Genomic DNA, 24,016 nt, shown 5'->3' on the forward strand with positions numbered 1-24,016 from the left:
CAGGAGGCTGTGGCAAGAGAATCGCTTGAACCTGGGAGGTGGAGGTTGCAGTGAGCCGAGATGGTGCCACTGCACTCCAGCCTGGGTGACAGAGCAAGACTGTCTCAAAAAAAAAAATGTGAAAATAGAAAACTGTACACACAAAAATCACTTACAAGTTAAAGAGGCACTGTAGCATCAGCTGGAGAGCACAGACCCTGGAGGCCAACTGCCCAAGTTCAAACCCTGCTGGCCTAGGATCTTGGGCAAGTCCCTCACCCCCTCGGTTAACAGTTTCCTCTTCTGTTAAATAGGAAGAATAACACTGACCTCAGAGTTGTTATGTGAATTATTAATCCACGCAAAGCTCTTAGAAATGTGGTGGGCAGTGACTAAATGTGAACTATGAATGTTATTACCCCACCACCCCAGCACAAGAAGGAGTCACTGGTATCATTTTAGAATGCCCCCTCCAAATCTTTTTTTTTTTTTTTGGCATATGTGTAACTCTGTGTATATATATATATACATTTTTTTTTTTCCTTTTTGAGACAGGGTCTCACTTTGTCATCCAGGCTGGTGTGCAGCGGTGAGATTTCACTGCAACCTCCGCTGCCCAATCTCAAGCAATCCTCTCACCTCAGCCCCTCATGTAGCTGGGACTACCAGCATGCACCACCATGCCCAGCTAATTTTTTTGTATTTTTAGCAGAGACAGGGTCTCAAACTCCTGAGCTCAAGTGATCCACCCGCCTTGGCCTCCCAAAGTGCTGGAATTATAGGCATTAATAATATAAGTACCATCCCGACCTTGTACTTATATTATTAACTCACTCAGGAACATGGCATTAGGCTATATTGGGGTCCTTTGGCTTCCTTGTTTGCTCAGCAGTGAATCGCGTCCATATTTAGGAAGGCTCTGCTTAGTTACAGTAAGGACCATCCTCCTGATGGATGCGTACACTGCTCTTCCTGACTTTAGATGGAACTTGGTCCTGGCCTTCTCCTGCCCTTCAGTCCTGGTGTCTGGGGTGGGTCCATTGAGGCAGTCCTGTGCCGTGCATCCCCGTCATGGCTCAGCATGTGCCTAAGCCCAGCCCATCCGACTCTCCCTCCAGGGCGATGAGGGTGGAGAGCGGGTGCTACAGCAGCGCTGGACCTCCTTCCTCAAGGCCCAGCTGCTGTGCTCACGGCCCGACGATGGCTTCCCCTTCAACGTGCTGCAGGATGTCTTCACGCTGAGCCCCAGCCCCCAGGACTGGCGTGACACCCTTTTCTATGGGGTCTTCACTTCCCAGTGGTAGGGCCTCCAGACCTCGCTGGAGATGGAAGGGTGAAGGGTGGCTGGGACTGGGGCCCCCAGGGCTCCTGGGTTAATCTGGTTATTTCCTCTGCAGGCACAGGGGAACTACAGAAGGCTCTGCCGTCTGTGTCTTCACAATGAAGGATGTGCAGAGAGTCTTCAGCGGCCTCTACAAGGAGGTGAACCGTGAGACACAGCAGTGGTACACCGTGACCCACCCGGTGCCCACACCCCGGCCTGGAGCGGTGGGTACTGGCTCCCTGCACCCAGAAGGGGTGCCGGGAAGATGTGGGTCCCCACACCATGCTGGGAGCAAGGCTGCCTAGCCTCGGGCAGATCACTTGGCTTCTCTGAATCTCTTTTCTCATCTTTAATATGGGGATATAGGCCCAGGCCTGCTTGTGTACTGGGTTAGATATAAGTATGAATGTCAGAATATCTTCAGTTCTGTTTCAGGATACAAGTGTGTCCCCATCAGGGCACTTGCTGCAGGCTGTTACAATCATCTCTTCATTTGGTCCTCTCCCCTACTCAGCTGCAAGCTCCTTATTTAATTATCAAGTGACTGAATGGGCAAGCTGTGGGGAAATAATCCTTTCTTCCTCCCTTCTAGCCTAACGGGCTACCCTGATAGCAGACCTTGAGACAAGGATATACGTGCCAAATAGTTTATTAGGGAGGTGATGCCAGGAAGCAGCATGAAGGAATAGGAAGGTTGAGAGGAGGAGGGAGGGAAACCAAAAGAGGGTGTGTCAGCACGCTGTTGTTGCTGTGGGCAGCTGGAGCTGGGTCCTGCTGGAGCCCCTGACAGATGGTGTGGAGCACCTCTCAGAATTTCAGGAAGCCTCAGGCGGGGCAGGAAAGAACTGCCGACTGCACTGGGACGCTCTGCCCGGCCAGGGCTTCCTGAGAGCACTGGTGAAGGGTGCAGAGGAGCAGGGAGTGTGGTCCTGGTTCTTGAGGCCCCTGGGCATATGAGGCTGGGGTGGTGGGCAGGGAGGAGGCACAGCAAGGAAGCCCTCCAAGCACTCGGTTTCCCCGCACCCTGGGCTTTGTCCTTGCTCCCTCAGATGTGCACACTGGCTCTGTAGAGCACTGCCAGGGATGTGCCCTGGCTCCGGGCGGGGGGACAGACACCGCTACTGTCCACTGGGGAAGCAGGGCCCGCATCCTGCCTGCCACCCCGAGGTGTGGCTGGCCTCACACTGCTGCTTTCTCCTCCAGTGCATCACCAACAGTGCCCGGGAAAGGAAGATCAACTCATCCCTGCAGCTCCCAGACCGCGTGCTGAACTTCCTCAAGGACCACTTCCTGATGGACGGGCAGGTCCGAAGCCGCATGCTGCTGCTGCAGCCCCAGGCTCGCTACCAGCGCGTGGCTGTACACCGCGTCCCTGGCCTGCACCACACCTACGATGTCCTCTTCCTGGGCACTGGTAAGTGTCTGCAGCCCAGCAGGCTCAGGGGAAGGGGTGCACGTGGCTGGTGGGTCATGGGCAGTGGGCTCCACCCAGGGCCTGAGTCCTGTCCACACCCCAGGTGACGGCCGGCTCCACAAGGCAGTGAGCGTGGGCCCCCGGGTGCACATCATTGAGGAGCTGCAGATCTTCTCATCGGGACAGCCCGTGCAGAATCTGCTCCTGGACACCCACAGGGTGAGCAGGCCAACGAGGAATCCTGGCAGGGTACTTGGGGGGTGCCCTCCATTAGCACCAAGCAGTCCCCACCCAGCTTCTCCTCCCTTGCCTCAGGAGGATGGAAAGATAAAGGATCCAGTCATGAACTATTAGAAAGTGGGGTCGCCTGTTACGTAACAGGCCTCTTGGGGGTGGCTCTGGGAGGCATACAAGCCGGGTGGCCATGGGTGATGGCCCTGGCTGCCCATGCCCGCTTCTCATCCCCGTGTCTGGCTGTGCAGGGGCTGCTGTATGCGGCCTCACACTCGGGCGTAGTCCAGGTGCCCATGGCCAACTGCAGCCTGTACAGGAGCTGTGGGGACTGCCTCCTCGCCCGGGACCCCTACTGTGCTTGGAGCGGCTCCAGCTGCAAGCACGTCAGCCTCTACCAGCCTCAGCTGGCCACCAGGTGAGCACTCCCAAAGGCCCCTTCCCATCTGTCCAGCCCTGCACAGGTGACCTCGGAGCACCATCCTGGGCCCTCCTTGGGACCGCCACACAGCCTCGTTTATGTCCACTGTCTCAGCATAATTATTAATTAGCTCTCCTGCTTCCTCTCAAGTGCAATTCAGACAGGAAATTGTGTGTTTATCTTGGCTACCTGTAAAACGAGGACATGATTTGGTAAAGTATGAAATAGCACAGCTTTGAAAAGCCTTGCAGGAAAATGTGGATTAGCGTGTGAACGTGCTTTAGTAATAGTAGGGCTAGGAAACAGTCCATTAACAAACCCAGTAAAAATTGGTTTCAGAATAACCTATTTGGATTATAAAATGTTCATTTAGAAAATAGGGATGAACACAAAGCAAAACTACCCCTCATCCCACCACCTAGAGAGAATCGCAGTGAGATTTTGATATATTATCCTCTCAGGTTTTACTACATATGTGTATAGATAACAAAAATCCTTTTATTTTATTTCATTTCATTTCATTTATCTTGTTTGGAGACTCGCTCTGTCGCCCAGGCTGGAGTGCAGTGGCACAATCTCGGTTCACTGCAACCTCCACGTCCTGGGTTCAAGCGATTCTCCTGCCTCAGCCTCCCAAGTAGCAGGGATTACAGGTGCCCGCCACCATGCCCAGCTAATTTTTGTATTTATAGTGGAGGCAGGGTTTCACCATGTTGGCCAGGCTGGTCTCGAACTTCTGACCTCAGATGATCCACCCACCTTGGGCTCCCAGAGTGCCGGGATTACAGCCATGAGCCACCGCGTCTGGCCAAACATTCATATATTTTATATAACATTGGCAACTGTCCTGTTTGTAGTGTTCTTGCTTCACATATGGATACACCTGGTGTCAGTTTTTACAAAAACCAAGTGAGTTTTGGTGCGTATGCCAGGAGGGACACCCCAGAATGTTAACTGTCATGATCACTGGCTGGTAGATGCTGTGATTTTTGTAGTGTTTTCATCCTTCGTGCCTGGTTGACTTATCTGTCTCCTGAGTGTATCCAGAATTACTGTCCTTTATTTTTTATTACACAGATGTATGCATGTGCACTGTTTAAAAAAAAAGATGAGAACACATCAAAAAAAATTTTAATTAAAAAAAAGAAAAAGAGAGATCTATACATACAGATCCCAGCTGTCCTTCTAATCTTTTTCTGAGGGTACATACTATTTTTTATTATTATTTTTTGAGACAGGGTCTCTCTGTGTTGCTCAGGCTGGAGTGTAGTGGTGTGATTACAGCTCACTGCAGCCTTGGCCTCCTGGGCTCAAGCAATCGATCCTCCAACCTCAGCCTCCTGAGCAGGTGGAACCACAGGCGTGCGCCACCATGCCTGGCTAATTTTTCTATTTTTTGTAGAGATGGGGTCTCGCTATGTTGCCCAGGTTGTCTTGAATTCCTGGGCTCAAGCGATCTACCGGCCTTGGCCTCCCAAAGTGCTGGGATTACAGGCGTGGGCCACCATGCCTGGCCACTGAGGGTACATACTGTTTATGTAATTAAGGGAAGTGTTATCTTAGCTTTGACTTGAAATAATGTGTAGACAGAGGAGATGCTGACTCCTGTGGGTGGGGAATCAGCTCAGGAAAGGCCCTTGCCCAGGCCCAAGTCTGCAGTGAGGGGTGAGGGAATGTGAGCTCAGGGGACTTCCTGGCCAATCCCAGAATTCTCTCTGGCCCTCAGGCCGTGGATCCAGGACATCGAGGGAGCCAGCGCCAAGGACCTTTGCAGCGCGTCTTCGGTTGTGTCCCCGTCTTTTGTACCAACAGGTGAGGTGCCCCCTCAAAAGGTGGAGGAGAGAGGTGGGGACAAGTGTGCTTGGAAGGCTCCCCCAGGCACAGATGTTGTAAATGCCTTTCCTCACTTCCTTGCCCCCTACCCCTGTAAGCAGGTCCCCAGGAAGACTCAGTCCCAGGGGTCCCCGGAGTTGCCCATCGTGGCACCAGGGGCATAGCCCAGAGGGAGGCAGGGGAGCTTGGAGCTACTGTGGACGCTGGCACCCCCCTACCCCATGCCTTTTCTGCCTACAGGGGAGAAGCCATGTGAGCAAGTCCAGTTCCAGCCCAACACAGTGAACACTTTGGCCTGCCCGCTCCTCTCCAACCTGGCGACCCGACTCTGGCTACGCAACGGGGCCCCCGTCAATGCCTCGGCCTCCTGCCACGTGCTACCCACTGGGGACCTGCTGCTGGTGGGCACCCAACAGCTGGGGGAGTTCCAGTGCTGGTCACTAGAGGAGGGCTTCCAGCAGCTGGTAGCCAGCTACTGCCCAGAGGTGGTGGAGGACGGGGTGGCAGACCAAACAGATGAGGGTGGCAGTGTACCCGTCATTATCAGCACATCGCGTGTGAGTGCACCAGCTGGTGGCAAGGCCAGCTGGGGTGCAGACAGGTCCTACTGGAAGGAGTTCCTGGTGATGTGCACGCTCTTTGTGCTGGCCGTGCTGCTCCCAGTTTTATTCTTGCTCTACCGGCACCGGAACAGCATGAAAGTCTTCCTGAAGCAGGGGGAATGTGCCAGCGTGCACCCCAAGACCTGCCCTGTGGTGCTGCCCCCTGAGACCCGCCCACTCAACGGCCTAGGGCCCCCTAGCACCCCGCTCGATCACCGAGGGTACCAGTCCCTGTCAGACAGCCCCCCGGGGTCCCGAGTCTTCACTGAGTCAGAGAAGAGGCCACTCAGCATCCAAGACAGCTTCGTGGAGGTATCCCCAGTGTGCCCCCGGCCCCGGGTCCGCCTTGGCTCGGAGATCCGTGACTCTGTGGTGTGAGAGCTGACTTCCAGAGGACGCTGCCCTGGCTTCAGGGGCTGTGAATGCTCGGAGAGGGTCAACTGGACCTCCCCTCCGCTCTGCTCTTCGTGGAACACGACCGTGGTGCCCGGCCCTTGGGAGCCTTGGGGCCAGCTGGCCTGCTGCTCTCCAGTCAAGTAGCGAAGCTCCTACCACCCAGACACCCAAACAGCCGTGGCCCCAGAGGTCCTGGCCAAATATGGGGGCCTGCCTAGGTTGGTGGAACAGTGCTCCTTATGTAAACTGAGCCCTTTGTTTAAAAAACAATTCCAAATGTGAAACTAGAATGAGAGGGAAGAGATAGCATGGCATGCAGCACACACGGCTGCTCCAGTTCATGGCCTCCCAGGGGTGCTGGGGATGCATCCAAAGTGGTTGTCTGAGACAGAGTTGGAAACCCTCACCAACTGGCCTCTTCACCTTCCACATTATCCCGCTGCCACCGGCTGCCCTGTCTCACTGCAGATTCAGGACCAGCTTGGGCTGCGTGCGTTCTGCCTTGCCAGTCAGCCGAGGATGTAGTTGTTGCTGCCGTCGTCCCACCACCTCAGGGACCAGAGGGCTAGGTTGGCACTGCGGCCCTCACCAGGTCCTGGGCTCGGACCCAACTCCTGGACCTTTCCAGCCTGTATCAGGCTGTGGCCACACGAGAGGACAGCGCGAGCTCAGGAGAGATTTCGTGACAATGTACGCCTTTCCCTCAGAATTCAGGGAAGAGACTGTCGCCTGCCTTCCTCCGTTGTTGCGTGAGAACCCGTGTGCCCCTTCCCACCATATCCACCCTCGCTCCATCTTTGAACTCAAACACGAGGAACTAACTGCACCCTGGTCCTCTCCCCAGTCCCCAGTTCACCCTCCATCCCTCACCTTCCTCCACTCTAAGGGATATCAACACTGCCCAGCACAGGGGCCCTGAATTTATGTGGTTTTTATACATTTTTTAATAAGATGCACTTTATGTCATTTTTTAATAAAGTCTGAAGAATTACTGTTTAATCCTGGCTCTTCCTCTTCAAGGACAGTTGCTTTTTGAGGTAGGTCTAGTCTTCTGAGTTCTGAGAGGTTCTGAACCTCTTCTTTGCAGGCTCAAGTGAGCCAGAGTCAGCCTAGCCTGGTCAGCAACGTCTCCCTGTGGGGCGGCTCTGAGGTGGGGAGCTTAACGCACTGATAGGCGGAGGCAGGGGGTTCATTGCGTTTACCTCAACCCCTTCATTCTGCATCCCCAATTCAGTTTAGCAAGGGTAGGGACACAAGGGAAGGGATGGGATGGGATGGGGGCCCTGTATTAAAGTTTTTAATTCTTCAGATCATGCAGTAAAATAGACTTTACTGATGTACGGTTCTTTACATTTTGATGCATGCAGAGACTCATCTAACCACCACCCCAATCAGGATACAGGCGAGTCCCACACCTCCTGCTGCCCCTTCATCCTCACACCCTCCCACGGGGACAGCCAGCGTGGGTGCGGCTTGACTTCCCGCTGGCCTCTGCTCGATATGCTGCTTATTCCTAGGATGATTGAAGGCTCTTAGAAGAGAAGTCCAGTCCTTCCTCATACCAGTGTATCTCATGTCACACATAGGGTCAAACTTCTAAACCTTTATTACTGATTAGTACAAACACAAACGGAGCAATGACAACAGCAGTGAGGAGAGGCCCTGACAACGAGGGCCGCCCCTGCCCGGGGTGAGGCTGCACAGCGCCAGCTCCAGGCTGGGCCAGCTTGGCCCGCACTGGCAACACAGGCTTGACCTTGGCCACAGCTCAGCAGTAGAAAGGTTCTTGGACAGGGTGCCAGGACACACGCTGGGGCTGCTGTCACAGGACAATCTTAAAGGAGCTGAACAAGAGAAAAGCGGTGGGTTTTCTGCTGGAAGAGGAGGGCAGGGACTAAACCCGAACTTGCCCCCTTCTCCCTTTAGACCCTTCTTTGGAACGGGCTATGTTCCGTGTGTCAGCCCCCTCTGCAAGAACTCCCCGAGACATCCAGAGGGAGCTTTCTGGACCCACACACTGGGTCAGAGCTTCTAAACCTTTATTACTAATGAGTACAAACACAGAGCAATGACAATGGCAGTGGGAAGGGGAGAGGTCTTGACAAGGAGGGCTGCCCCTGCCCGGGGCGAGACTGCCAGCTTAGCCGGCCCTGTGTGTGGGGACTGGGGCTTTCTCTCACCCTGGCACCACCTCCTGTAGCCATGCCCTAGGCCCAGAGGCAGCAGGTCGGAACCTGCAGGTACCCAGAATGAAGGGGGACCACTGTCATACCTGGCAAAGTCTGGAGAACGGGAGATGACGTGCTGGAACTCAGAGAGGTTGATGGTTCCATCCCTGTCAATGTCAGACTCCTCCAGGATCTGGGAAAGGGAGAGTTTCAGGCCAGAGCCCCAACTGCTCCCTCCCGCTCCCAGGCCTGCTCAGCTGCTCACGTTGTCGATGAGCTGCTTCATCTCAGACGCACTAAGCCGTGTGTCCTCGCCCTCTCCCGTGAGGCAGTTCACCAGCCGGCTCAGGTCTTCTCTGTTCAAGGTTCCGTCATCATCAAAGTCTAGAGAGCAGACACAGGAAGCCAAAAGACACGGTTGGGAGGGGCTCTGAGGTTCCCCAAACGGCGCCCATTTCCCAAGCAGGGCCACCACAAAGCCCACGTGGGAAGGGGTGGTGTCCTGCCGGGCTGCTCCTGGTTCTCACCAAAGATGCGGAAGGCATAATGGGACTTGATGTCTGGCGTGGCTGTGTCACTGAACACACTGAGGAGATCCAGGAAGTCCTCAAAGCTAAGGCTGTCTTTGGCTGGGGATGTGGAGAAGACCCTGCAGATTCGCTCCTTGAAGGGGTTGGCCTAGGAGAACAAACGCCACAGGACGTGGCCCAGGTCACACGCTCATTAAAGCCTACCAGAAACTTGAGAGAGCAGGTCACAGGACCAGCACCAGCGAGCTCAGCCTCGTGGGGGTGAACAGTCAGTGCTTTGGGGCCAACATGGAGGGCAGTGGGGGCACAGGAAAGCAAACTGACCCAGCTGGGGAAGGGACTGAGATGGCTTCCTGGGAGTCAAGTGTTTAACCCAAAGGCAGGTCACATACAACGTAAGTGTGGGCAGAGAGGGAAGAAGAAGTCATCCTAAACAAAGGGAACGAGATGGGCTGGTTATTTTAAAACACAAATATTTACTTGAACAGCTATTGTGTTACAGGCACCGGGCCAGGCCCTTTGCACAGAAATTTTGCAGCAGCCTTACGGAGTGGCAATCAGCCTCTAGAACACGGTTCCTCAAACTCTAATGAGGTACCTCAACTCCTCTTAAGGGACAAAACTTCTTTGAACTTCCAAGATTATGTTCTAGAATCCCCATTTGAAAAGCACCATTCTAGATAATTCTGCCAGGTGATTTTGGTAAAGTCCTTGCCCCTAGAAAATCAGAACTAAGCAGAAAAATGACCAGAGTGGGGACCAGTGACCCCATGATCCCAAAGCTAGTGGCAGATGGAGTTAGGGGGTCTAGCAGGGAGGGAGTGGTGGGAGAGGTGTCAAAGGAGGGGAGCGCTTGCACCTTGAGCTCTGGAAGGCTGAGAATCTGCTCGAAGGGCACTTGTGCCCGAAGTGACGACTCCACGCTCCGCTGCTCCTGGGGAAGCAGCTCACAAAACCGCCTGTGGGCTCTGGTAGAGAGAGGGGAACTGTCGGTGTTCTCAGCGATCGGTCTCCCTGTGTGTTCATTCCCACTCCTTGCCTGCTGCTCATTGTCAACCAGGTGAGGAGCTAAAACCACGTACACAGAACTTCCGAGTCATCAGGCAACGGTAAGCAAAAGGACATGTCACAAGGCAGTACAGCCTAGGAGTCTATTCTTGCAATGAGTATTTACTGAGCATTTACTATGTGCTTGGCACTGATTCTAGAGATCCCCAAGGGATGAAGAAGTTGGGAAAGGAGCCAGAAGTTGGCCCTAAAGAATTGGCCAGGCACGGTGGCTCACACCTGTAATCCCAGCACTTTGGGAGGCCAAGGCGGGCGGAGCTTTGGAGGTCAGGCGTCTGAGACCAGTCTGAGCAACATGGTGAACCCCTTCTCTACTAAAAATACAAAAATTAGCCGGGCATGGTGGCGGGTGCCTATAATCCCAGCTACTCAGGAGGCTGAGGCAGGAGAATCACTTGAACCCGGAGGCAGGAGAATCACTTGAACCCGGAGGCAGAGCCTGCAGTGAGCCAAGATCGTGCCCCAGCACTCCAGCCTGGGCGACAGAGCGAGACGCTGTCTCAAAAAAAAAAAAACGGAGAAAAGAGCAAAACCAAAAATCTCATTCTCACCTTCACTCCAGGGATCTCTTACCCTCAAAGCCTCCTTTTTAGCAACCACACTGAACTGTCCTCCTCGGCCTCCACCTCCTTCCCATGAGCTTATCTTTGCCACAGGAACCTGGCCTGCATAAATCCGGCAAAAGGGCTTCCAGCCCAAGTTCAAATCTACTTACTCAGAGTGTTGTCTTAAGCAGTTACCAAACCTTTCTGAACCTGTTTCATTGTCCAGTACCTCTCTCCTAAAGATTAAATTAGGTAACGCAGGCAACCATTTAGCACAGTCCCTGGCACATGGTGAGTGCTCAGAAAGCGATAACGGTTACTGTATTATTCAGGTAAAGTTGGGAGAAGGAGCCGGGCTCCCCAAGGCTTCTGTGGTTTAGCCACTGGGCAAGGTCGGCCCCTGCCGGACTGGGGCAGGAAGTTCGGCAGTGCTGAAGCTAGTGGAGCCCAGGGTCAAAGAGCGCCTAACTTTTCCTGGAGGCTGTAAGGTGGCTCCGCGGTGCCACGCTGGGGCCTCAGGCGAGGGCGGGGAGGGCGTGCCGGGAGGAGGGCGCAGCCCGGGCTAGGTCTCCCGGCCTCCAGCTCCCGCTCCTCTGCAGACCTCAGGCCAGCCCCCGCCCCTCCCTCGGGACAGCGCCCCCGAAGCTGTCTCTAGAGGATCCCGGGGTCGGAGGCAGGGTTCAAGGCAGCACTTACAGGAGGATCTCCTGCTTCGTCAGGAACGTCAAGTCCTGGAAGGCAAAGCCAGAGCGGGGATTAGCGGACCGCTGGGAGGCCGCGGCCGCCCCGCAGCCAGCTCCCGGACCCTGCTCCCGAGAAGAGGCCCGCACGCGAGCTCCCCAGGGCCAGGCGTCCCGCGCACCTGGTACTCGGCCAGCAGCTCCTTGGACAGGCGACTGCCCGAGCCCCCCATCGCCCCGCCGCGCGCACAGCTCCGCCAACTCGCCTCGAGACGCAGACAACTTTCTCACTTCCGCCCTTGGGCCGCGTCACTGCCCGGTCCCCGCGGCAACCGCTCCTGGGGCCACCACCCCCGGGCCCGCCCCCTCCTAAAAGCTGCCAGGCGTTCCCAGCCGGGTTTGGCAGGCGAGCTGCCGGCTCCAAGCGGTCCTAGGCGAGCTGGAGGCGGGGCCCGGGGAGGGGCCCGACGCTCCGGGGCGGAGCCCGGGACTCACGGCCCCGCCTCCGGGGTGGGAGGGGGGGGCGGGCCACGCCGCGCGCGTGCGTGCTGGCTGCGTATGCGTCACGGGCGTCATGACCTCGCTGTGGCCCCGGCAGCGGCTGCGGGGAAAGTCGCGAGGTGCATCCGCTTCGGCTGCAGTAGGTGGTGGCGGCGGCAGCCCTGGGTGGGGTCCCATAGGGGCATCTGAGAAGTCACTGGAGCTAGCGTTTCCGGGAAACCTGGAGACTCGCTGAGTGGCGGGGGTCGTCGGCTGCCCCTCTGCCCAGCAAGGGCTTTTCTAGATGTTATCATCAGGCAATCGCTGCACCTGTCGCAGCCCCCAAGCCACCTCTTCCAGAAGTAACCATAACCTTGCTTCCTTCTTAGGCTATTTACTGAGGACCCACTGGATGTCAAGCATTGTGCATAGTTTTCTTCGATTGTTGCAACATCCCTTGCGAGGTAGGTTCCCATTTTACAAAGATGGAAATACGTAAGTCCAAAGGGTGTTAGTGATTTTTCCGGGCGCCGGCATTTAGAAGGTAATCGGTCCAGTCCAAGGCACTTTTAAAGGCTCTCCACTGCTGTTCTCATCATTCCAGCTGACCTGCCGTCCTTTTGACTCCATCTCACCCCTAGACTGCTGACCCTTTGCTCTTGTCCCCTCTTAACCTCTAGGATAATGTTTGGCACATAGTAGGCTCTCAGTAAATATTATCGAATGCATAATAAATGAATGAACGTATACTATTGCAAAAGGTAAGGATTCCAAACTGCTGGGAGGAGGAAGTGGAGGTTGTGTTGGTCAGGCTGGGATTAATTCTTGATCCTTCCAATCCATTATACTTGCTGATCTTTGTAAAGTCTAAATCTGAGTATGTTAGTCTCAGTTTATAACCATTAAATGGTTAAAAACCCAAATCCTGGCCCTCTGTAACTGGACTTCCTCCTATTGGCTCTCTGTCTTTCAGCCACTTTGGGCCCTCAGTCCCTCTTCCATCTCATCCTCAGGGAAGCCTTTCCTGACTCCCTAGACTGCCTAGGAATCTACTTTACACTGGAAGAATACCCAGTGCTCTCCTTGGCAGCATGTGTTTGATAAGACACACTGTATTAACAGGTACATTCCATCATTGTAGAAATATTCAAGGCCAGGCGCGGTGGCTCATGCCTGTAATCTCAGCACTTTGGGAGGCTGAAGCAGGCGGATCATTTGAGGCCAGGAGTTCAAGACCAGCATGGCCAACATGGCAAAACCCCATCTCTACTAAAAATACAAAAATTAGCCAGACATGGTTAAACCTGGGAGCTGGAGGTTGCAGTGAGCGGAGATTGTGCCACTGCAGTCCAGCCTGGGCAACAGAGTGAGACTCTGTCTCAAAAAATAAAAATAAAAAAAAATAACTAGGGTATAGGCCCATCCCAACCTGATCATTTTTCTCTTTTTTTTTGAGACAGAGTCTCGCTGTGTCGCCTAGGCTGGAGTGCAGTGGCATGATCTTGGCTCACTGCAAGCTCCGCCTCCTGGGTTCACGCCATTCTTCTACCTTAGCCTCCCCAGCAGCTGGGACTACAGGCACCCGCCACCACACCCGGCTAATTTTTTTGTATTTTTGGTAGAGACGGGGTTTCACCCTGTTAGCCAGGATGGTCTGGATCTCCTGACCTCGTGATTCGCCCACCTCGGCCTCTCAAAGTGCTGGGATTACAGGCGTGACCCACCGTGCCCGGCCGATCATTTTTCTCTTAATAGCAGGCTCTTTCTGTCCGAGAAAGAGTTAGTCTTCTGTTAGTAAAAGCTTAGGCAAAAAGCAAGAAGCTGTCATTATGTCTCCTGTACTAAATAGACCTTGTTTGCCTCTTACAAGCCAAGGCGAATACCTGGACTGCATGGTAATAAGTATCTGTCTTCTTTTTTTTTGAGACAGAGTTTCACTCCTGTTGCCCAGGCTGGAGTGCAATGGCATGATCTCAGCTCACCGCAACCTCCGCCTCCTGAGTTCAAGCAGTTCTCCTGCCTCAGCCTCCTGAATAGCTCGGATTACAGGCATGTGCCACCACACCCAGCTAGTTTTGTATTTTTAGTAGAGACGGGGTTTCTCCATGTTGGTCAGGCTTGTCTCGAACTCCCAACCTCAGGTGATCGCCTGTCTTGGCCTCCCAAAGTGCTAGGATTACAGGCGTGCGCCACTGCACCCAGCCATAAGTATCTCTTTATAGTGAAGACATGAGAGTCAGCTTTGTGCCTGGTGACCAGCTGTGATCTAGATCTCTCAGTCACTTCACTTGGCTCTGAACCCTTCATGGAACAACCTTTGGTTTTCATTTTGCTTCCTGATTCATTTTGTACACTGACCAGCCAGCAAGAACCTTTTGTGCCATTTGGCATATTTCTCATTGTAAATTATTTTTATTTGTGAGATGGAGTCTCACTCTGTCACCAGGCTGGAGTACAGTGGTATGATCTTGGCTTACTGCAACCTCTGCCTCCCAGGTTCACCTGATTCTCATGCCTCAGCCTCCTGAGTAGCTGGGATTACAGGAGTGCACCACCACGCCCAGCTAATTTTTGTATTTTTTTTTAGTAGAGACGGGGTTTCACCATGTCGGCCAGGATGGTCTCGATCTCCTGATCTCTTGATCCGCCTCCCTCAGCCTCCCAAAGTGCTGAGCCACCACGCCCGGCCTCTCATGGTAGATTATTAAATGGGCAGTCTGAATCATTTGGTAGTCCTCGGTGAATCTGGTTAGCATATTGTCCCTCCTGTACCTGATCAACTCTTGGTACAGTGATAAAACCGAGCTGCTGATATACTTTTATTTTTTATTTTATTTATTTTTTTGAGACAGAGTCTCACTCTGTCACCAGGCTGGAGTGCAGTGGTGCGATCTTAGCTCACTGCAACCTCTGCCTCCCAGATTCAAGCGATTCTCCTGCCTTAGCCTCCCGAGTAGCTGAGATTACAGACGCCCACTACCACACCTGGCTAATTTTTTTGTATTTTTAGTAGAGACAGGGTTTCACCATATTGGCCAGGCTGGTCTCGAACTCCTGACCTCGTGATCCACCCACCTTGGCCCCCCAGAGTGCTGGGATTACAGGCGTGAGCCACCGTGCCCGGACTTTATTGTAATTTTCTTTTTTTCCCTTTTTTTTTTTTTTTTTGAGATGGAGTCTTGCTCTGTCACCAGGCTGGAATGCAGTGGCACCACCTCAGTTCACCACAACCTCCACCTCCCAGGTTCAAGTGATTCTCCTGCCTCAGCCTCCCAAGTAGCTGGGACTACAGGTGTGTGCCCACCACCACGCCCAGCTAATTTTTGTATTTTTAGTAGACACAGGGTTTCACCATGTTGGCCAGGATGGTCTCGGTATCTTGACCTCGTGATTCACCTGCGTCAGCCTCCCAATGTGCTGGTCCAGGGATTACAGGTGTGAGCCACCGCACCCAGCCCCTCATTGTGATTTTGATTTGCCTTTTCTTATTGATTAATGACGTTAAACATCCCAAATGTGCTTGTTGGCCATCTTTATATCTTATTTGAAAAAATGTCTAAGATTATCTCTTTTTTTTCTCCTTTTTTTGGTTTTGTATTATTTTTATTATCTCATTTTAAATTTTTTCGCCTGTCAGATAAGATTCTCTTTTATTAGAATAAGATACTACATTAGTCAGGCCTGGTGCAAGTGCCTGTGGTCCCAGCTACTTGGGAGGCTGAGGTGGATGGATTGCTTGAGTCTGGGAGGCAGACATTGCAGTAAGGTGAGAATAAGATACTACATTTGATCATCAAAATTATGCTTAGCTTCACTTTTTTGTTGTTGTTGTCTTTTACCTTGCAGCTCCAGCTCAAAGGATTAGCTTCACTTTTAAACATTTTTGGCCAGGTGCGGTGGCTCACGCCTGTAATCCCAGCACTTTGGGAGGCCAACGCAGGTGGATCACCTGAGGTCAGGAGTTCGAGACCAGCCTGGCCAACATGGTGAAACCTGGTCTTTCCTAAAAATACAAACATTAGCCGGGCGTGGTGACACACACCTGTAGTCCCAGCTACTCAGGAGGCTGAGGCATGAAAATCACTTGAACCTGGGTGGTGGAGGTTGCAGTGAGCCAAGATCGTGCCACTGCACTGCAGCCTGGCTGACAGAGTGAGATTCTGTCTTTAAAAAAAAAATTGACCATCTGAACCATTTCTAAGTGTATAGTCGTGTTAAGCACATTCACGATGTTGTGCGGCAAATCTCCAGGACGTTTTCATCTTGCAAACTAAGCCTCAATACTCATTAAACTTAGCTTGACTTTTGATATGTAATTTTTTATATGTTTTGTTTCCTTTCTGTTTTATTAACATGAAGTTTCTGGAGCAGCAGAGCTGAAGGAACCCAAACTTGGACTGAAGTGACTCTACTAAGGTAATGCCTCCTTTTGACATCCTATCTGGGCCAGTGGCAGACCCCTCTCCCTGACAGTGCTGGGTCCAGGGCTCCAGGCAGCCAGGGGAAGATGAAGACAGGCACTAATTTCCCCCTTGAAAGGTTGGCCCTGGACACTTACCCACACATCAGTGCCATCCTCACCCAAATGTTTCTATGCATGACCAATTGGAATCACTATGGAACATGGAAAAGCTTTTCCCACAAAAGAAGTGGTCATCTTTGAAACCCTGAGCACTCTCATGCACTGGAACTCAGGTATGATTTTCTGGAGGGCAGTTTGATGGTGTGTATAAAAAATCTGAGCCATGGGAATTTGAGACCACCTGAACAGCATAGCAAGGCTCTGTCTCTACCAAAAACAAAACAAAACAAAATAAAACCAAAACCTGAGCCATGGACCTACTCTGACCCAGTGGTATACCAGGATTTTATTTTAAAGGAAAATAAAAACATGACATGTTCAATGATGAGTGTGTGAGTGTATAGGATGTTCATTGCCACATTGTGTATAATAGAATGAAACTAGCTACAACCTATATAAACAGTTGAAGATTGGTTAAAAAGTCAAGATCCATCTATGTATGAAAATGAAGCTAAACATAAATTGTGATTTTTCCTTAGGCATTATAACAAAGGGTTATATTTTATCTTTATTGTTTCTCCATTAAAAAAATTTACTCGATATATATAATTTTTAGAAAGAAAAAATAGTTGATCTATATGAGACATAAAATGTGTGTGTGTGTGTGTGTGTGTGTGTGTGTGTGTATTAGTCTGTTCTCACACTGCTGTGAAGAAATACCCAAGACTGGGTAATTTATAAAGGAAAGAGGTTTTATTGACTCACAGTTCTGCAAGGGTGGACAGGCCTCAGGAAACTTACAATCATGACAGAAGGGGAAGCAAACACATCCTTCTTCACATGGCAGCAGCAGGGAGATGTGCAGAGCAAAGAGGGAGGTAAAGCCTCTTATAAAACCATCAGATCTCAGGAGAACTCACTATCACGAGAACAGCATGGAGGTGACCGCCCCCATGATTCATTTACTTTCCACCGGGCCCCTCCCACAACAAGTGGGGATTATAGGAACCACAAGATGAAATTTGGGTGGAGACATAGCCAAACCATATCTATCTATCTATCTATTTTTTTGAGACAGAGTTTCACTCTTATTGTCCAGGCTGGACTGCAATGGTGCGATCTCGGCAGTGCCTGGTGGCACATGCCTGTAGTTCCAGATACTTGGGATGCTGAGGTGAAAGAATCCCTTGAGCCTGGGAGGTCAAGGCTTCAGGGAGACATGTATGCACCACTGCACTCCTGCCTGGGTGACAGAGTGAGAACCTGTTTCAAAATAAAATAGGCCGTGGCTGGGCGCAGTGGCTCACACCTGTAATCCCAGCACTTTGGGAAGCCGAGGTGGGTGGATCACCTGAGGTCAGGAGTTCAAGACCAGCCAGACCAACATGGTGAAACCCTGTCTCTACCAAAAATACAAAATTAGCTGGCTGTGGTGGCACATTCCTATAATCCCAGCTACTTGGGAGGCTGAGGCCAGAGAATCGCTTGAACCTGGGAGGTAGAGGTTGCAGTGAGCCAAGATAGCGCCATTGCACTCCAGCCTGGGTGACAGAGTGATAAATAAATAAATAGGCCAGGTGCAGTGGCTCAGGCCTGTAATCCCAGCACTTTGGGAAGCCGAGAGGGGAGGGTCACCGGAGGTCAGGAGTTCAAGACCGGCCTGGCCAATGTGGTGAAACCCTGCCTCTACTAAAAATACAAAAATTAGCCGGGCCTGGTGGCGGGTGCCTGTAATTCCAGCTGCTTGGGAGGCTGAGGCATGAGAATCACTTGAACCCAGGAGGTGGAGGTTGCAGTGAGCCAAGATCGCGCCACTGCCCTCTAGCCTGGGCAACAGAGTGAGACTCTGTCTCAAAAAAATAAAAATAAATAAATAAGCTGTGCATGTTGGTTCATGCCTGTAATCCCAGCACTTTGGGAGGCCAAGGCAAAGGGATCACCCGATGTCAGGAGTTCAAGACCAGCCTGGCCAACATGGTGAAACACCATCTCTACTAAAAATACAAAAATTACCCGGGCATGGTGGTGCCTGCCTGTAACCCCAGCTGCCCAGGAGGCTGAGGCGGGAGAACCGCTTGAACCCAGGAGGCGGAGGTTACAGTGAACCAAGATCACTGCCACTGCACTCCAGCCTGGGTGACAGAGTGAGACTCCATCTCAAAAAAAAAAATAAATAAATAAATACAATGACAATCTCTGGAGGTGGGTTACCATCATGTGTTTTCATCTTTTATGACTATTTCAGGTCAGCTCTATGGCTCTTCCACATGATTCAAACGAAACTTCCTATTTGCTGCCTCCCAACAATGAGGACTGGGGCAGGCAAACCATTCCTGACTTTGTTTATGGGCAGAAGGATCTCATGGCAGAAGGGATTCAGTGGCCAAGGAATGCACCTGGCATCCCAGATGCTCTGCCACAATCTCCCTTTGATGCTGCACTCTGCTCTGCCTGGAAGCAGCGGGTGGAGCTGGGGCTGTTTCGCTACCGTCTACGGGAGCTACAGACCCAAATCCTCCCTGGTGCTGTGGGTTTCGTGGCTCAGCTGAATGTGGAGCGTGGTGTGCAGAGGAGGCCCCCGCAGACCATCAAGAGTGTGAGGCAGGCATTTGACCCTGTACAGTTCAACTTCAACAAGATCCGGCCCGGAGAAGTCCTCTTCCGTTTGCACCGGGAGCCTGATCTCCCTGGGACTCTGCTGCAAGAAGACATCCTGGTGGTGATCAACGTCAGCCCCCTGGAGTGGGGCCACGTGCTGCTGGTGCCTGAGCCTGCCCGCCAGCTCCCCCAGCGCCTGCTGCCGGGTGCACTGAGGGCAGGGATTGAGGCTGTGCTGCTGAGCTTACACCCGGGCTTCCGTGTCGGCTTCAACAGCCTGGGAGGCTTGGCCTCGGTGAACCACCTCCACCTGCATGGCTATTACCTGGCCCACAGACTGCCCGTGGAGCAGGCGCCAAGCGAGCCCCTGGACCCTGGAGGCCATTTGCATCTGCTCCAGGACCTCCCAGCTCCTGGCTTCCTCTTTTACACTCGTGGGCCAGGGCCTGACTTGGAGTCCTTGATAAGCAGGGTATGTCGGGCCACTGATTATCTGACTGACCATGAGATTGCTCATAACTTGTTTGTCACCCGGGGAGCTCCGCCGGGAAAGACATCACCTTCCTCAGCCCTCACAGGGGTCCGAGTAATTCTGTGGGCCCGGAAGTCCAGCTTTGGGATAAAGGACGGTGAAGCTTTCAATGTTGCCCTCTGTGAGCTGGCTGGGCACCTCCCTGTCAAAACATCCCAGGACTTCAGCAGCCTGACAGAGGCAGCTGCTGTGGCCCTCATTCAGGACTGTCGGCTGCCCCCATCCCAGGCAGAAGACGTACAGGCAGCACTGGTGGCCCTGATGTCCCAGGAAGAGCAATAATACTTCTGGATGTATTTATGTTCTTTTTTTCTTTTCTTTTGAGATAGGGTCTCACTCTGTCCCCAGGCTAGAGTGTAGTGGTATGATCCTGGCTCACTGTAGCCTCCACCTCTGGGGCTGAAGTGATCCTCCCACCTCAGCCTCTTGAGTAGCTGAGACTATAGGCGTGCACCACCACACACCTGGCTTTTTTTTTTTTTTTTTTTTTTTTTAACGATTAGGTGATTTTGTATTTTTTTATATAGACAGCGTTTCACCATGTTGCCCAGGCTGGTCTTGAACTCTTGGGCTGAAGCAGTCCTCCCACCTCGGCCTCCCAAAGTACTGAGATGACAGGAGTGAGCCCCTGGATTCTTTTCTGTTTCTTTTTTTTTTTTTTTTTTTTTTTTTTTTTTTGAGATAGTCTCGCTCTGTCACCTAGGTTGGGGTGCACTGGTACAATCTCGGCTCACTGCAACCTCCACCTCTAGGGTTCGAGTGATCCTCCTGGCTCAGCCTCCCGAGTAGCTGGGACTATACAGGCTCCTGCCACCAAACCCGGCTAATTTTTTTGTATTTTTAAAAGAGAAGGGGTTTCACCACATTGGCTAGGCTGGTCTTGAACTCCTGACTTTAGGTGATCCGCCCGCCTCGGCCTCCCAAAGTGCTGGGATTACAGGCGTGAGCCACCACACCCAGCCAGGATGTATTCATTTTCTACCTGATGAGTCCCTTTCCAGAGCACTGTCCATCATAGTCCTTTGGACATTTATTTTCATGGCTGCCTTCTCACCTGTCTCAGCCTAAGAAGAAGGATGAAGAAAGCTGATAATGATCTCTTAAAGGGGAGAAAGATAATGGTCTCTTTAAAGGGGAGCTGATAGTGGTCTCTTTAAAGGGGAGAAAATCTGGAATAATTCTACTGAGTAAGACATCATGAATGTATCTGCTACCTCTCCCCGTTCTTGTTCAAGCCCCAGGGGTGTTAAAAAGGAGTGTGTGTGACAGTTACACACTCCTGACTTTACATTTAGATTTTGTCTTCCTTTGATATCAAATGTTAGCACGGTAATAGTGCCTGTGCCTCCAGTATTGAGCTGCCACTTCTGTTCTCAGCCTGTTTATTCCCCTTTGCTCACCACTTATTTTTATTGCTTTGTCCCTTCTTTCCATTTAGCCCTGCTCCACCCAAATGCCCCACTCCTTCACTTTCCCTGCCACCTTGAGCTTTCCTCTAGCCCCCAACACCAAGTTGAATGCTCTTCACTGACATCATCTGATGTAAAAACACAGTGTTGTCACAACTTTCCGGGTGCACGTCTTTTTTTGTTTTGTTTTTTTGTAAGGCTGGGGTGCAGTGGTGCAATCACAGCTCACTGCAGACCCAAACTCTTGGTCTCAAGCCACCCTCCCACCTCAGCCCCCTGAGTAGCTGGGACGATAGGTGTGCACCATCACACCTGGCTAATTTTTAAATTTTTTGTAGAGATAGGGTCTTGCTATGTTGCCCGGGTTGCTGTCAAACTCCTGGCCTTAAGAAATCCTCCCACCTCGGCCTCCCAGAGTGCTAAGATGCCACCACACCTTGGTGCAGGTTTTTTTTTTTTTTTTTTTTTTTTTTTTTTGACACAGGGTCACTGTCACCCAGGCTGGAGTGCAGTGGTATGAAGACAGCTAACTGCAAGCTTCAACCTCCTGGGCTCAAACAATACTCCCATCTCAGCCTCCCTAGTAGCTGGGACCACAGGCATGCGCCACCACACCCGGCTATTTTTTTGGAGAGATAGCATCTTGCCAAGTTGCCCAGGCTGGTCTCGAACTCCTGGCCTCAAGATCCTCCCACCTCAGCCTCCCAAAGTGCTGAGATTATAGGCATGAGCCACTGCACCTGGCCTGAGTTTTTTTTTTTTTTTCTTGAATCAGAGTTTCACTCTGTTGCCCAGGCTGGAGTGCAGTGGTGTGATCTCGGCTCACTGCGTCTCTGCCTCCTGGGTTCAAGCAATTCAGCCTGAGTCTTCTTAATACCCCCATTCAAAACGGGATGGAGACTGACAGTTTGTACTTTGTTCAAGGTCAGGCAGCTGGAGTCGGGACTGCAGCACAGGCAGGTACCAGAAGATGAGCTGGGACAATGTGTGCTTGTGACCGCCTCTCCAGTCAGTGGTTCCCATGGTGGGTAGCACTGTCCTTAACAGTTTGCCCTCCCTGAGCCTCAGCCATCCCTCTTGGGGTCTTTCCCAAGCACTTTAGAAGCTCCTCTTGATGTAGACACAAAATCCAAAGCTAAGTCGTTGTTCCTCCGTCTGCATCTGAGTCAATGTGGGAAATTTTTTTTTATCTCATTGCTTTGTTCTGTCCTGTTTCTCCAGACATTTCACACTGGTTCCAGAGGAACTAGTCAGTAGACACTATTCTAAGAGAGTATGTGGGTGTGAAATCTCATTTTCCTTTTAGCTCCCTTGAATGTTATACAGCAAAAGTAAAAGAAGTCTTGGGTTGGCTGGGCACGTTGGCTCACACCTTTAATCCTAGCACTTTGGGAAGCCGAGGCAGGCAAATCACTTGTCAGGAGTTCGAGACCAGCCTGGCCAACATGGTGAAACCCCATCTCTACTAAAAATACAAAAATTAGGCGTTGTGGCGGCCACCTGTAATCCCATCTACTTGGGAGGCTGAGGCAGGAGAATCACTTGAACCCAGGAGGCGGAGGTTGCAGTGAGCTGAGATTGCACGACTGTACTCCAGCCTGGGCGATAGTGCGAGACTCAGTCTCAAAATAAATAAATACATAAAGTCTTGGGTCCAGCTCTCAACAGAGATTATCACCGCCACCACTCCTTCATCAAACATCCTGAAGGAATGAGAGTCCCTGTTCACAGCGTAAGGGTGAAAGGGGGCTCACACAGGTGGGTTCTGGCTGCTGTCTGAGTGGGCTCACCCAGGAGGGGTTTTGATTTCTCTGCCTCCCAAACTGTGGGTCCTAGCCCTGGCTTAGGCCTTCAGGTCGTTGGCTCCCTATACCTAGGCCTGTATAAAGCCTTAGTTTCCAGTTTTCATTAGAGGTTTTACATCCCAAATGATGTTACAAAGTCTCCCTGTGATAAAGCAGAATATGTGTCCATAGCCCATTTTATAAGAAAAACAGTTTAGGCCAGGTGCGGTGGCTCACGCCTGTAATCCCAGCACTTTGGGAGGCTGAAGCAGGCAGATCACAAGGTCAGGAGTTCAAGACCAGCCTGGCCAACATGGTGAAACCCCGTCTCTACTAAAAACACAAAAATTAGCTGGGTGTGGGTGCACATCTATAGTCCCAGCTACTCAGGAGGCTGAGGCAGGAGAATCGCTTGGACCTGGGAGGCGGAGGTGGCAGTGAGCCGAGATCGCGCCACTGCACTCCAGCCTGGGCGGCAGAGAGAGACTTTGTCTCAAAAAAAAAAAAAAAGAAAAAAACAGTTTACCATTCTATCAGAAAATGTTGACCACCCTCATATTTTTGGTAAACTGCAGTAATTTTTCCTTAATACTTTTTGCAAGCTTTTGCATGCATAAGCTCCAGTATCACACTTAATTTTGCTTGCTTGCTCTCTGAAGGGAGTTCGGATGACCATTACAGCAAAGTGGATTTTGCGTTCAAAGTGATAAGCCAAATATCAGGATTTTCCCAGTTTCTCCGTAGGACTGATGTTTAGAGGAAAGCCTTCCCTGACTCAAATATGTTTCTCCATATAAAAAGGGGAAAGTAAAATGGGTTTTCTTTCTGGTGGTATTTCTCAGCTATTTATATGCTTTGTGAATCTTCAAGAAGAGCATTTGGACTGCAGCTTTTTCTACTGAGTAGGAAACACGTAGGGGCCCTTTGTACTCCGAGCCCTGGGCTTTGAGTATGGTAGGAAGTGCTGACCCAGCCCAGGACCTCCCCACGTTTTTGCTTAACTCTTCATGCAGAGGCCGGGCACGGTGGCACACTCCTGTAATCCCAGCACTTTGGGAGGCCGAGGCGGGCAGATCACCGGAGGTCAGGAATTCAAGACCAGCCTAACCAACATGGTGAAACCCAGTCTCTACAAAAATACAAAAATTAACCGGGCATGGTGGCATGCGCCTGTAATCCTAGCTACTCAGGAGGCTGAGGCGGAAGAATCGCTTCAACCCAGGAGGCAGAGGTTGCAGTGAGCCAAGATCGTGCCATTGCACTCCAGCCTGGGTGACAGAGCGAGACTCCATCTCAAAAAAAAAATACAAAACAAAAAACGATAATCAGAACTCTTCATGCAGGGCCTCATGTACTAAGAGGGTTTAGACTTGATCTAATGGGAAACCTTGAAGAATACTTAATGTGGGGTAACAGCTTTGCATTTGAGTAACAGCTTTGCATTTGAGGAAGAATACTTACGCTGTAATGGGGAGGATGGATGGAGTGAAGAATAGAATC

The 24,016-nt window shown here is 51.6% G+C and overlaps 3 protein-coding genes across 16 annotated transcripts in view, besides 2 other annotated features; 2 read left to right on the top strand and 1 right to left on the bottom strand.

Moving 5' to 3' along the window:
* The window catches only part of SEMA4B (semaphorin 4B), a 44,742-nt gene extending 37,542 nt beyond the window's left edge, over positions 1-7,200 (top strand). For 4 of the 9 annotated variants that reach the window (NR_172049.1, NM_020210.5, NM_001324030.3 and 1 more), the window contains 7 exons: positions 1,098-1,279; positions 1,377-1,527; positions 2,507-2,717; positions 2,821-2,936; positions 3,200-3,366; positions 5,096-5,181; positions 5,443-7,199. Coding sequence is in view for 8 of the 9 variants with exons in the window: in NM_020210.5 (NP_064595.2) it covers positions 1,098-1,279; positions 1,377-1,527; positions 2,507-2,717; positions 2,821-2,936; positions 3,200-3,366; positions 5,096-5,181; positions 5,443-6,182 (1,653 nt within the window). In the remaining variant the exon portion in view is untranslated. Of the gene's footprint in view, positions 1-1,097; positions 1,280-1,376; positions 1,528-2,506; positions 2,718-2,820; positions 2,967-3,199; positions 3,367-5,076; positions 5,182-5,442 lie in introns of all 9 variants that reach the window. The other 5 variants (NM_001393916.1, NM_001324032.3, NM_001324031.4 and 2 more) reach the window with 4 other exon arrangements.
* A 313-nt stretch (positions 7,201-7,513) lies between these two features.
* CIB1 (calcium and integrin binding 1) overlaps positions 7,514-24,016 on the bottom strand; it is a 35,785-nt gene continuing 19,282 nt past the window's right edge. The window contains exons 1-7 of one of the 5 annotated variants that reach the window (NM_006384.4): positions 11,374-11,480; positions 11,208-11,242; positions 9,758-9,866; positions 8,896-9,046; positions 8,634-8,752; positions 8,473-8,561; positions 7,514-8,044 (exon numbers count right to left, since the gene is read on the bottom strand). In NM_006384.4, coding sequence (NP_006375.2) covers positions 8,023-8,044; positions 8,473-8,561; positions 8,634-8,752; positions 8,896-9,046; positions 9,758-9,866; positions 11,208-11,242; positions 11,374-11,424 — 576 coding nt within the window. In that variant the 5' untranslated portion in view covers positions 11,425-11,480 and the 3' untranslated portion in view covers positions 7,514-8,022. Of the gene's footprint in view, positions 8,045-8,197; positions 8,562-8,633; positions 8,753-8,895; positions 9,047-9,757; positions 9,987-11,207; positions 11,243-11,373; positions 11,695-24,016 lie in introns of those variants that run through there. The other 4 variants (NM_001277764.2, NR_102427.1, NR_102428.1 and 1 more) reach the window with 4 other exon arrangements.
* Positions 10,973-11,422: a silencer, noted in NCBI's record as "silent region_6817". NCBI's record gives its function as "represses an Ori minimal core promoter by ATAC-STARR-seq in GM12878 lymphoblastoid cells {active_cell/tissue: GM12878}" and the evidence as "EXISTENCE:reporter gene assay evidence [ECO:0000049][PMID:35858748]".
* Positions 11,443-11,882: a silencer, noted in NCBI's record as "silent region_6818". NCBI's record gives its function as "represses an Ori minimal core promoter by ATAC-STARR-seq in GM12878 lymphoblastoid cells {active_cell/tissue: GM12878}" and the evidence as "EXISTENCE:reporter gene assay evidence [ECO:0000049][PMID:35858748]".
* GDPGP1 (GDP-D-glucose phosphorylase 1) lies at positions 11,748-23,350 on the top strand. Of its 2 annotated transcripts, NM_001322811.2 has the most exons (5): positions 11,748-11,831; positions 12,061-12,135; positions 13,602-13,720; positions 16,031-16,087; positions 18,439-23,350. In NM_001322811.2, exon 5 carries the CDS (start codon positions 18,448-18,450, stop codon positions 19,603-19,605), a length of 1,158 nt encoding a protein of 385 aa, NP_001309740.1. In that variant the 5' UTR covers positions 11,748-11,831; positions 12,061-12,135; positions 13,602-13,720; positions 16,031-16,087; positions 18,439-18,447; the 3' UTR covers positions 19,606-23,350. The 2 variants fall into 2 exon arrangements, with proteins under 2 accessions (NP_001309740.1, NP_001013679.2); NM_001013657.3 differs by lacking the exon at positions 13,602-13,720.

The sequence above is a fragment of the Homo sapiens genome, chromosome 15, assembly GCF_000001405.40.
Source record: "Homo sapiens chromosome 15, GRCh38.p14 Primary Assembly".
NCBI lineage: Eukaryota > Metazoa > Chordata > Mammalia > Primates > Hominidae > Homo > Homo sapiens.